The 12558-nt window shown below is 47.0% G+C and overlaps 1 pseudogene, besides 8 other annotated features; it reads left to right on the plus strand.

Annotated features, from left to right (window-relative positions):
* On the plus strand, positions 1370–2309 carry RPS2P17 (ribosomal protein S2 pseudogene 17; annotated as a pseudogene).
* Positions 4933–4992: an enhancer, noted in NCBI's record as "active region_16105". NCBI's record gives its function as "activates an Ori minimal core promoter by ATAC-STARR-seq in GM12878 lymphoblastoid cells {active_cell/tissue: GM12878}" and the evidence as "EXISTENCE:reporter gene assay evidence [ECO:0000049][PMID:35858748]".
* Positions 4933–6171: a biological region, named in NCBI's record as "P300/CBP strongly-dependent group 1 enhancer GRCh37_chr2:85146489-85147688". NCBI's record gives its function as "regulatory_interactions: TMSB10".
* Positions 4972–6171: an enhancer, noted in NCBI's record as "P300/CBP strongly-dependent group 1 enhancer chr2:85146489-85147688 (GRCh37/hg19 assembly coordinates)". NCBI's record gives its function as "activates an origin of replication core promoter dependent on BRD2, BRD4, P300/CBP, MED14 and CDK7 cofactors, with strong dependence on P300/CBP, by STARR-seq in HCT116 cells {active_cell/tissue: HCT116}" and the evidence as "EXISTENCE:reporter gene assay evidence [ECO:0000049][PMID:35650434]".
* Positions 5484–6072: a transcriptional cis regulatory region, noted in NCBI's record as "candidate enhancer chr2.3019 targeted for multiplex CRISPR interference". NCBI's record gives its function as "positively regulates TMSB10 gene expression with high confidence in K562 cells {active_cell/tissue: K562}" and the evidence as "EXISTENCE:mutant phenotype evidence [ECO:0000015][PMID:30612741]".
* Positions 5943–6132: an enhancer, noted in NCBI's record as "active region_16106". NCBI's record gives its function as "activates an Ori minimal core promoter by ATAC-STARR-seq in GM12878 lymphoblastoid cells {active_cell/tissue: GM12878}" and the evidence as "EXISTENCE:reporter gene assay evidence [ECO:0000049][PMID:35858748]".
* Positions 10686–10735: an enhancer, noted in NCBI's record as "active region_16107". NCBI's record gives its function as "activates an Ori minimal core promoter by ATAC-STARR-seq in GM12878 lymphoblastoid cells {active_cell/tissue: GM12878}" and the evidence as "EXISTENCE:reporter gene assay evidence [ECO:0000049][PMID:35858748]".
* Positions 11670–12331: an enhancer, noted in NCBI's record as "H3K27ac-H3K4me1 hESC enhancer chr2:85153187-85153848 (GRCh37/hg19 assembly coordinates)". NCBI's record gives its function as "activates a minimal SCP1, AML or CMV promoter by ChIP-STARR-seq in naive H9 embryonic stem cells {active_cell/tissue: H9 hESC(naive)}" and the evidence as "EXISTENCE:reporter gene assay evidence [ECO:0000049][PMID:30033119]".
* Positions 12083–12132: an enhancer, noted in NCBI's record as "active region_16108". NCBI's record gives its function as "activates an Ori minimal core promoter by ATAC-STARR-seq in GM12878 lymphoblastoid cells {active_cell/tissue: GM12878}" and the evidence as "EXISTENCE:reporter gene assay evidence [ECO:0000049][PMID:35858748]".

Raw genomic sequence — 12558 nt, forward strand, 5'->3', positions numbered from 1 at the left:
TATTTGGTTTGTGACGAAAAAAGCAAAAGCAAAAACTCTATCCAACCTTGCTTAAGCAAAAAGGATTTATTTACTCACGTATATGGGAAGTCCATGGAGTAGGTTTTGCTTCAGGTGTGGCTGATGGAGATAGTTCAATGACGTCACAGGGACCTGGTTTTTCTTTCTCTATCTCTCAGCTCTGTATCTTCATCCTCAGGCTGACCCTCCCCTCATGGCGACATTATGGCTGCTGCAGCTCAAAAATTATATTCCTCCCAGGTGTAGAAGCGGCAGAAGAGAGAATTTCTCTTCATCCAGTTTGAACAAAAACCCTGGGCCTAACTTTCACTGGCCTGAATTAGGTCAACTGCCCGCCCCGATCTAATCACATTGGCTAGGGAAAGGGAAGACAGAGATTGTTTCAAATCTAGGTCACATGCTATCATTTTTTAAAATCATGTTAAAATTGGCATCACCAATAACGGAATAAACCAACATTACGTACTTCCTGATATGATACACTGAAATGAATTCAGCATCACATTCATGATACTGCTGACAAAAAATGCATAGCCTGAATCCAATCATGAGGAAACACCAGACAAACCCAATTTAAAGGACATTATATAAAACAACTGGCCTATATCCTTCAAAAATGTCAAGATTACAAAAGACAGCCCGGGCATCGTGGCTCACACCTGTAATCCCAGCACTTTGGGAGGCCAAGGCAGGCAGATCACTTGATCCCAGGAATTCAAGACCAGCCTGGCCAACATGGCAAAAGCCCGTCTCTACAAAAAAAAATACAAAAAATAGGCTGGGCGTGGTGGCTCATGCCTATAATCCCAGCACTTTGGGAGGCTGAGGCAGGCAGGTCACCTGAGGTCAGGATTTTGAGACCAGCCTGGCTAACATGGCAAAACTCCGTCCTACTGAAAATACAAAAATTAGCCGGGAGTGGTGTCTCACGCCTGTAAGCCCAGCTACTTGGGAGGCTGAGGTAGGAGAATCGCTTGAACCTCAAAGGCGGAGGTTGCAGTGAGCCGAGATCATGCCATTGCACTCCAGCCTGGACAATGAGAGCGAAACTCCGTCTCAAAAAAAAAAATGTCCTGCCAGATACAATGGCTCAAACCTGTAATCCCAGTACTTTGGGAGGCTGAGGCAGGAGAATCACTTGAGGTCAGGATCTTGAGACGAGCCTGGCAACATAGTGAGACCTCATCTTTACAAAATATTTTAAAAATCAGCCAGAGGCTGAGGTCAGAGGATCACGTGAGCCCAGGAGGTCGAGGCTACAGTGAGCCGCGATGGTGCCACTGTACTCCTGCCTGGGCAACAAAATGAGATCTTGCCCCAAAATAAAATAAAATTAAATTAAAAATTGCTTCTTCTCCGAGAAAACACCAAATGGCGGATGACGCCGGTGCAGCGGGGGGGCCCAGAGCCCTGGTGGCCATGGGATAGGGAACCGCGGTGGCTTCCACGGAGGTTTCGGCAGTGGCATCCGGGGCCGGGGTCGCGGGAGTGGACGGGGCCGTGCCGAGGCCGCGGAGCTCGCGGAGGCAAGGCCGAGGATAAGGAGTGGATGCCTGTCACCAAGCTGGGCCGCTTGGTCAAGGACATGAAGATCAAGTCCCTGGAGGAGATCTATCTCTTCTCCCTGCCCATTAAGGAATCTGAGATCATTGATTTCTTCCTGGGGGACTCTCTCAAGGATGAGGTTTTGAAGATTATGCCGGTGCAGAAGCAGACCCGTGCCGGCCAGCGCACCAGGTTCAAGGCGTTTGTTGCTATCGGAGACTACAATGGCCATGTCGGTCTGGGTGTTAAGTGCTCCAAGGAGGTGGCCACAGCCATCCGTGGGGCCATCATCCTGGCCAAGCTCTCCATTGTCCCCGTGCGCAGAGGCTACTGGGGGAACAAGATCGGCAAGCCCCACACCGTCCCTTGCAAGGTGACAGGCCGCTGCGGCTCTGTGCTGGTGCGCCTCATCCCTGCACCCAGGGGCACTGGCATCGTCTCCGCACCTGTGCCCAAGAAGCTGCTCATGATGGCTGGTATCGATGACTGCTACACCTCAGCCCGGGGCTGCACTGCCACCCTGGGCAACTTCGCCAAGGCCACCTTTGATGCCATCTCTAAGACCTACAGCTACCTGACCCCCGACCTCTGGAAGGAGACTGTATTTACCAAGTCTCCCTATCAGGAATTCACTGACCACCTCGTCAAGACCCACACCAGAGTCTCGGTGCAGCGGACCCAGGCTTCAGATGTGGCTACAACATAGGGTTTTTATACAAGAAAAATAAAGTGAATTAAGCCTGAAAAAAAAATTTTTTAAATAAGAATCCGAATATTTCATCATTCACAGAAAATAGATTTTTAAAAAAGAAAGAGTGGACTGGACACAGTGGCTCATGCCTGTAATCCCAGCACCTCGGGAGGCTGAGGCAGGTGGATCACTTGAGTCCAGGAGTTGGAGACCAGCATGGGCAACATAGTGAGACACCCCCCGCCCACTGGCATCTCTACAAAAAATAGACAAAAATTAGCTGGCCATCTTGACACATGCCCATAGTTCTAGCTGCTTGGAAGACTGAGGTAGAACGATCACTTGAACCTGGGAGGTGGTAGCTGCAGTGAGCCATGATCGCGTCACTCTACTTAGCCTGGGCAAGTAAGTGAAACCCTGTCTCCAAAGAGAGAGAGAGAGTAATATATAAGTAGTACTCAGTCCAACTCTGTGGAAGATCACGCATGTGGTCTAAACCAACAATGGATTTAACCTATCATGAAATTATTTTATCTTGTGCCCTAATTTTGAAGAAATAAATAAAAGCTAGTAAACTGGGCTATTCAGGAAACATTTACCTTTAGAACGATCCATTAAAGTGAATAGAAAACCAAACCATGGACACAATAATAGTTACCGCTCACACAGTCTAGGCTGAAAGCCATGGTGCATGCAACCCAGCAACATGGCTTGGGGGCTGAGTAAGGAAGCTGAATTTCAGGGATTGTGTAAACAGGCCTTGGAATGTGTTGACATCAATAGTAATAGCTAAAGTGGTTCCTGAGTCCCCAAATTATTCGTTGGTTCTATCAGGGTTTTCCAGAGAAACAGAGCCAATAGGAGATACACACACACACACACACACACACACACACACACACGGAGTGAAAGAGATTTTAAGAAATTGGTGAAGTGCCGTTGTTGTTTTTGTCTGGGGTAAATACTTGGGGTTCCTCGTCTCATGCCAAGGACACGGACACACACAATGAGTGAGTTTAGGAGCCGAGGTTTACTAGGCAAAAGAAAGAGAAAGGAGAACAGCTCTCTATCTTGCGAGAGAGAGGGAATTCCAAATGGGAAATCTGGCCCAGAATGGGAGTGCTCCGCAGGCTTGCAGAGGTGGTGTCTGATTTGCGTAGGGCCCACAGATTGGTTGGACCAGGTGTGACGCTTACGTAGTGCTCAGGAAGGCTGGCCACCCCATCCTAATCTTATTGTGAAAATGGGCTTTCCATTTGGTGGTCACCATGTTGTCTGCTCCTTACTGTACACATGGCTGGCAAAGAGAAGGGAAGGTGGAGCGCCATTTTGAATTTGCCTAGTTCCAGGTAACATTTTCCTATTGTCATAACTGCCAGCATTCACCCACGCAGGCTTCTGGCTTGCTTGTCTATGTCTGCAGCTCAATTTTACAGGCTGCTCTTTGTTAGAAAAGAAAATGATATGGGGGCTGCTTTTCATTAAAAGGAAAACCTTACCGAGGACTTCCTTCCCCTCACTCTCTGCCTAAATAATTTCTTTTTAACTCCTGTATCATTGGGTCAGATGATTGCAGGGGTTAACAAGTCTGAAATCCATAGGACAGGTCATCAAGATGGAAATTCAAGCAGTTCTTCCATATTATAGTCGTAAGATAGAAGTCCTTCTTCTCAGAGAAACTGCAGTTTTTTCTCTGAAGACCTTAAACTGATTGGATGAGGTTCACCCACAAAGACTATCTCCTTTTCTTCAAGTCAACTAATTGAACATGTTAATTACATCTACAAAATGCCTTCACAACAATATCTAGACAGTGTTTGACCAAATAGCTGACACCATAGCCAAGTTCACACATAAAATTAACCATCACACTGTTTGAGGTTTTTTTTTTTTTTTTCCATTTCATCTGCACAGGCACCTGGCTTCTAGCAGACATTTTCTCCTTGGATCTGGGCACCAGTACATCCCATGCCAGGCCTGGCCCACCACAAGGACCACTGAATGCAGAAGCCCAGCTCCCACTCCCACCCAGGGCCACGAAATGACACTAGGGATGGAAACTGATGTAGGATGGTGCAGCAGAAAGCATTAAGGTGACTGGGATCTCAGAGTTGCTATACCAGGCGTGGACTACTCCTTCCAGACATCTTTAATCTTTATCAGGAAGATGAATAAGCTTCTATTATGATATATAAGTCACTGGGTTTTTGTTTGTTTTTGTTTTCTTTTTTTGTTTTGTTTTGTTTTTGTTTTGAGACGGAGTCTCTCTGTCACCCAGATTAGAGTGCAATGGTACCATCTCAGCTCACTGCAACCTCCCCCTCCTGGGTTCAAGCGATTCTCCCACCTCAGATTCCAAAGTAGCTGGGATTACAGGCACCTGCCATCATGCCCAGCTAATTTCTGTATTTTTGTAGAGATGGGGTTTCACCATGTTGGCCAGGCTGGTCTTGAACTCCTGACCTGAGGTGATCCGCCTGCCTCAGCCTCCCAAGGTGCTGGGATTACAAGCGTGAGCCACCACGCCTGGTCGTGTTTTTGTTTCCTGAGACAGAGTCTCACTCTGTCACCCAGGCTGGAGTGCAGTGGTGCCATCTCGACTCACTGCAACCTCCGCCTCCCAGGTTCAAGTAATTCTCCTGCATCAGCCTCCGGAGTAGCTGGGACTACAGGTACTGCGCCACTATGCCCGGCTAATTTTTGTATTTTTAGTAGAGATGGGGTTTCACCATGTTGGCCAGCCTGGTCTCAAACTCCTGACCTCAGGTAATCCATCCGCCTTGGCCTCCCAAAGTGCTGAGATTACAGGCGTGGGCCACCATGCCTGGCCAGACAGTCCAATATTTTTAAATCAGCCATAAATCTATGCACCGAATAATGTCTCTCTCTCTCTCTCTGACACATACACACATACACACATGCGCACGCGTGCACACCCACACATTGTTACCACTTAGAAGAGTGCCAGGCCCAGATGGTTTCACAGACGATTGCTTTCAAAGCTGCAAGAAAGCAATAACTTCAATACCTCAAAATTTGTTTCAGTAGTTAGAAAAGGACATATGCTTCCTGTGATGGTTAATTTTAGCTGTCAACTTGACTTGATTAAGTAATACACTAGTCTCCCCTTATCCATGGAGGGTATGTTCCAAGATCCCCAGTGGATGCCTGAAGCCACACATGTACCGAACCCTGTACACACCTATGATAACGTTTAATTTATAAATTAGGCACAGTAAGAGATTAACAACTAATAATAAAATAGAACAATTAAACAGTTGAACACAAGCACTGTGATGCTGTGACAGTCACTCGTAACTGAGATGGCTGCTAAGAGACTAGCTAACGGGTGAGTAGTGTATACAACGTGGAAACACTGGACAAAGGGATGAGTCACATCCTGGGAGGGACAGAGTGGAATGCCATGAGATTTCATCATGTTACACAGAACGATGAGCCATTTAAAACTTACGGATTGTTTATTTCTGGAATTTTTAATTTAATATTTTCAGACCAAGGTTGACCAGGAGTAACTAAAACTACAGAAAGCAAAACTGAATAAAGTGGGGAGTCGAGAACCTAGAGAGCTGGTAAAGCATTCTTTCTAGGTGTGTCTGTGAGGGTGTTTTCACAGGAGATTGGCATGTGAGTGGGTGGGCTGACTGAGGAAGATCTGCCCTCAGTGTGGGCGGACAACATCCAATTGGCTGTGGGCCCAGATAGAACCAAAAGGCAGAGAAAAGGCAAATTCTTTTTTTCTCTCTCCTGAAGCTGGGCCATCCTTCTTCTTCTGACCTTGGACATCAGAACTGCAGGCTCCCTGGCCTTTGGACTCTGGGTCTTACATTAGCAGCCCCCAGGTTCTTGGCCTTTGGCCTTGGACTGAGAATTACACTATCAGCTGCCCTGGTTCTGAGACTTTAGGACTTGAACTGAGCCCCACTGTGGTATTCCACGGTCTCCAGCTTACAGACAGTCTGTCGTGGGACTTTTCACCTCCCTAATCTCATGAGCCAATTCCCCTAATAAATCCCCTCTCATATATCTATATACAGTCGCCCCTCATATCTATGGGAGATGGGTTCCAGGTTATGTTGCCCAGGCTGGCCTTGAACTCTTGGGCTCAAGCTATCCTCCCATCTCAGCTTCCCAAGTAGCTAGGACTATCATATTCTTTTTTTTTTTTTTTTTTTGAGACGGAGTCTCGCTCTGTCACCCAGGCTGGAGTGCAGTGGTGCGATCTCGGCTCACTGCAAGCTCTGCCTCCCGGGTTCATGCCATTCTCCTGCCTCAGCCTCCTGAGTAGCTGGGACTACAGGCGCCCACCACCACACCCAGCTAATTTTTTTTTTTTTTGTATTTTTAGTAGAGACGGGGTTTCACCATGTTAGCCAGGATGGTCTCGATCTCCTGACCTCGTGATCTGACCGCCTCGGCCTCCCAAAGTGCTGGGATTACAGGCATGCGCCACTGTGCCCGGCCCATATTCTTTTTTTTTTTTTTTTTTTTTGGAGACAGAGTCTTTTTCTGTCGCCCAGGCTGGAGTGTAATGACATGATCTCAGCTCACTGCAATCTCTGCCTCCTAGTTTCAAGCGATTCTCCTGCCTCAGCCTCCCAGGTAGCTGGGATTACAGGTGCCCGCCACCATGCCTGGCTAATTTTTTGTATTTTTAGGAGACACGGGGTTTCACCACGTTGGTCAGGCTGGTCTCAAACTCCTGACCTCAGGTGATCCACCCGCCTCGGCCTCCCAGAGTGCTGGGATTACAGGCATGAGCCACCGTGCGCGGCCAAACTATATTCTTAAACACATTTTGTTCTGGCTTATTGCTGCATATCAAATAACTCCAAGACTTAGCGTCTTAAAACAATCACTATTTTGTTATATATCCTGTAGGACAGGAATTCTTATCTCCCTGCAGATAGCAAAATCCAGAGATGGTCAAATCCCTGCTATAAAATGGCATAGTATTTGCATATAACCTATGCACATCCTCCAGTACACTTTAAATCATCTCGAGATTATTTATAATATCAATGTAAAGGCTATGCAAATAGTTGTTAAACAGTATTGTTTAGGAAATAATGACAAGGAAAACAAAGTCTATACATGTTCAGTATAAAAGCTTTTTTCCCAGATATTTTCAATCCACAATTAATTGAATTCCCTGATGTAGAAACCCTGGATATGAGAAGCCAACTGTATATATACATATCCTATTGGCTCTTTCTCTCTGGAGCACTCTAACATGCCTTCCAAAACATTTACAAAGCAAATATGATCCTGAAAACAAAATCTACTGTGAATATTGTTGCAAACTTCTAAATAAAATACTAGTAAATTTAATCAAAAAAGTATATTACAATAACAAAACATGGCCAAATAAGGTTTATTCCAAGGATGCAATAAAATTTCAATACTAGGAAATCTGTTGTCATAATTCAGCATATTAACTGGTAAAGCAAAATATGCTCATCTTTATTTTTATTTATTTTTTATTTTTGAGATGGAGTTTCGCTCATTGCCCAGGCTGGAGTGGAATGGTGCGATCTCAGCTCACCACAACCTCCACCTCCCGGTTCAAACAATTCTCCTGTCTCAGCCTCCCAAGTAGCTGGGATTACAGGCATGTGCCACCAAGACTGGCTAATTTTGTATTGTTAGTAGAGACAGGGTTTCTCCATGTTGGTCAGGCTGGTCTTGAATGCCCAACCTCAGGTGCTCCACCCGCCTCGGCCTCCCAAAGTGCTGGATTATAGGAGTGAGCCACTGCACCCAGCCAAAATATGCTCATCTTGGTATGAGCCTGTGATGGTTAATTTTATGGTCAATTTGAGTGGACCCAGATTAAACGTTGTTTCTGAGTATATTTGTGAGGGTGTTTCTGGATGAGAATTGCATTTGAACTGGTGGGCCCAGTAGATTGCCCTCCCCAGTATTTATGCGGCCTCATTGCTTGAACTGGGACATCTTTTATCTTCTGCCGCCTCAAAACTGAGATTCATATCATCATTTCCTCTGGTTCTCAGGTCTCTGGACCCAGACTGAATTATAGCCCAGGCTTTCCTGGGTCTCCAGCTTGTCGAAAGCAGATTGTGGGACTCCTCAGCCTCCATAATTGCATGAGTCTACTCATAATAAATTTATTCTTAGGCCAGGCTTGGTGGCTTACACCTGCAATCCCAGCACTTTGGGAGGCCAAAGTGGGTGGATCAAGGTGGGAGGTCAGGGGTTCGAGACTAGCCTGGCCAACATGGTGAAAACCTGTCTCTACTGAAAATACAAAGAATTAGCTGGGTGTGGTGGCGGGCACCTGTAATCCCAGCTTCTCAGGAGGCTAAGGCAGGAGGATTACCTGAGCCCAGGAGCTGGAGGCTTCATTGAGCCATGATCATGCCATAGCACTTCAGCCTGGGCAACAGAGCAAGACCCTGTCTCAAAAAAAAGAAGGAAGGAAGGAAGAAAGGAGGGAGGGGAGGGAGGGGAGGGAGGGAGGGAGGGATTGATTCTAGTTATATAATTCTATGTATAAAATATGCACATTTAAAAAAATATAAGGAAGACATAAAGTTATATTCTTTTGACAAAAAGAATTGTATGTAATACAGAGATTATGTAAAGCCTATTTATGAAAGAAGGTAAAAAGAAACTAGTAAATAGGTGAAAGAGATGTAAAGAGAGTCACAGATGTAAAGATGTATTTTTGGTAACAAAGATTAAGAAGAAAAGAGAATAATTTTGTATGAGAAATAATCTTATGTGGTAAATTTTTGTCCTACAGTAAAATGACTGTTTATTTAAGAAAGAGGGAAATTTATGACAAAACAAAAAGTTCAAGCATGTTGTAAATTGTCTGTGTAAATCATGATAAGGTTCATAAAAAGAAAAGCTATAAAAAATTTTGTGTATGATTAACTTGGCTATAATTAAAAGGAAATAATTTATAATAGTCATGATAAATGTGCTTAACTGCACAAGCAGCCAAAGGGCACAGGAACCACTCTGATTATTCTGTATAGAATTCATTTCCTAGGCCGGGCGCTGTGGCTCACGCCTGTAATCCCAGCACTTTGGGAGGCCGAGGTGGGAGGACCACGAGGTCAGGAGATCAAGACCATCCTGGCCAACATGGTGAAACCCCGTTTCAACTAAAAATACAAAAATTAGCCAGGCATGGTGGTGTGCGCCCGTAGTCTCAGCTACTTGGGAGGCTGAGGCAGGAGAATCACTTGAACCTGGGAGGTGGAGGTTGTGGTAAGCCAAGATCGCACCACTGCACTCTGGGCGACAGAGTGAGACTCCGTCTCAAAAAAAAAAAAAAAAAAGCAGCTGGGTGTGGTAACACACACCTGCAATCCCAGCTACTCAGGAGGCTGAGGCAGGGGAGTCACTTGAACCTGGGAGGCAGGAGTTACAGTGAGCCAAGATCAAGCCACTGCACTCCAGGCCTGGGCAATAGAGTGAGACCCTGTCTAAAAAAAAAAAAAAAAAGAAATTCAATCTGGTCCTGCACCCCACTATTAACTATATCTACCACATCAGTGCTCCTACAGGGGAGGCTACTTCCCTGAACACAGAGAGTGGGTGAGAGTCTCAGGTCCTTGAGGAAACTGCAGGCTTCTGGCTCCTCCCAGTCCTGGGGAGTTTCCCAAACCTCTCTCCCTTTGTCTTGACACTTCCTCTCATTCTCTTCCCCTGGGGTCAACCCACGTAATCCCGGTGCAGCCCATTCCTTCCTGGATTAGCCCACTAAAATGCTAAAACCCATCAGAGTTTCCTTACCACCAACACTGCTCGTGAACAAACCTGTCACCAGGACCTGAACTGTACCAAGGGATGCTTTTCCCCACTATAATCTTCATCAACCTCTTAAATAAAATAAGCACTTATAATATCCTCATATAAACATGAATAAAGGCATCTCTGGAAATGTTTCTGTTTTAATTAAGCTGCAAACGCTTCATCCTTACAAGGCATATAGAGTTTCAAGGCAAACCCATAGTTGCCCCCCACATCCCCAGACCACCCCCTCCTGACTGAAGCAGAAAAATAGGGTCTGGAGGCAGGGAACCTAAGGCCGATTCACGCTGACTTTCTAGAACTAAATCAAAAGGAAAACCCCAACTTTCCACACCTAAGTAACAAAAGGACTGGAGGCTACTCCCTTTGCAAACCCCACCCCCCTTTTCTGTGGGGCCGACGGAAAATTGAAAGTATCTCTGATTGGTTGATTTCTGCAACCAGATATTTGCATAGGAGTGTAACTTTGTAACTTCACTTCAGCCTCTGATTGGTTGCTTTCCACAACCAATCAGACACTTACAAAGGTGTAAGTTACTTTGTAACTTCACTTCAGCCTCTGATTGGTTAATTTCTGCAACCAATCAGACTGATAGTGGGCCACTATTTCTTTTACTTAGAGTGTACACCAAGTCGCCAGTGGGAAACCTCTAGAGGGTATTTAAACCCCAGAAAATCCTATGCTTGGTCTGTTCGCACCCTGTGGAGTGTACTCTCGTTTTCAATAAATTTTTGCTTTTGTTGCTTCATTCCTTCCTTGCTTTGTTTGTGCATTTTGTCCAATCCTTTGTTCAAACTGCCAAGAACCTGGACACCCTCCACCCATAACATAACCAGATTGCTGCCTTTGAGCCTCTTCTTTTTTAGAAATTCTAAAGGCGCTACTGAGAATATGATGCATGTCCCTTCAGCCACTAGCTGTTCCCATCTCTTCTGGGAGATGTTCAGCGCTGGGTCCTCTCCACCTGCCCACAGGTTTAGGGAGCCGAGGGAGCCTTCCAGAGCCTCTAAGTCACCTCTCTAGGAGGCTGTCTGCCTGGCCCACACACAGGCAGGCCCCATTCTTGGCCTCCCCAAGCCAAGAGGGCACAGACTGATGATCCAGGGCAGGTCTAGGCAAGTGGGGCATGCAGGGATGTTGTATTAAAGCTTAAGCATCATGAGAGGATCTGATGACTCAGGGAGCAATTTCTTGAGCCCATATTGTCCACCTGGGAAGAAATTGTGGCTGAGGAGTATTCAGGAGCAGCTATGGGGGAGAGAGGGGCAGAAATACACCTCAAGGTAGGCCTCTACTGGGTTCAGGAGGTCCCGGGGCTAGGCAGAGAAAGGCAAGCTTGAGACCCAACAGCGCCACCCACCATGCATAAATCGGTTCCCTAGTCATCAATTCGCTTATGAATACGGAGGCCCCGGAAAGGTGAAGGGTGCCTTCTGGTGGCCAGCTGTGGAGGTGGCCTCGGAGAAGGGTGACCCGAGTGACAAGTTGCAGTGAGCGCTGGCTGCGTGCCCAGCCGCGTTGCACAACTCCCGGGCCACCAGGGGGCGCCATTCTCACACATTCCAGAGCAAACGGTGCTCCTTGGAGTTGAGCGGCGCGACGGTCCTGCAGCAGCTAGCCTGGGATGTACCCACAGCTCACCGGGGAGTCCGGGCCACACGTCAGCTGGATCTTGAATGAGATGAAGACGGGGAGAAAGGGCCTTCCGGACAAAGGGCTTACGCCCTGGATAAAGGGCGTGGAGGGGCGTGGCACGTTCAGTCTGGACACAGCATAAAGTGCATTGGAGAGAGGCGGGAGACAGGATGGAAAGGAGGGTGGGAAGAGCTATGAAGCTCCCCAGGGCCTTGCTAACGCGTTTGGACTTTATCCCGCGCCAGACTTTTTAAAGGTGGTAAGTAGTTTACAGATGTGCGTTTTGAGGCCAGCACATTTTGTTGTTGTCGTTTGTTTGTTTGTTTTTCTTTGAGACGGGGTCTCACTCCCAGGCTGGAGTGCAATAACGTGATCTCAGCTCACTGCAACCTCCGCCTCCCAGGTTCAAGCGATTCCCCTGCCTCAACCTGTCGAATAGCTGGGGCTACAGGCGCCCACCACCACGCCTGGCTAATTTTTGTATTTTTAGTGGAGACGGGGTTTCACCACGTTGGCCAGGCTGGTCTCGAACTCCTGACTTCAGGTGATCCTCCCGCCAAGGCCTCCCAAAATCCTGGGATTACGGCCATCGTGCCGGGCCAGCAGCACAGCGTCTTAAGCAATTTTGGATATGAATACCTTCGAGACGAGCTTGCGCTCCCACAGACCCCACCACTCCTACAGTCTGTAATTACCCCCAGCTGCACCCATATGCGTAGCTTCCCTGGTCCAGAGGGACGTGCGTGTGTGACCCTGCAGGATAGTGGGGTGGCCCTGCATGGCATGGCTGCCAGTGCTAAGAGGGGTGTGCCGCCAGCCTCTGATCCCTCTCACCGGCGGGCCCCCCATCATCATCACTATA

This window comes from Homo sapiens, chromosome 2 (assembly GCF_000001405.40).
Source record: "Homo sapiens chromosome 2, GRCh38.p14 Primary Assembly".
NCBI lineage: Eukaryota > Metazoa > Chordata > Mammalia > Primates > Hominidae > Homo > Homo sapiens.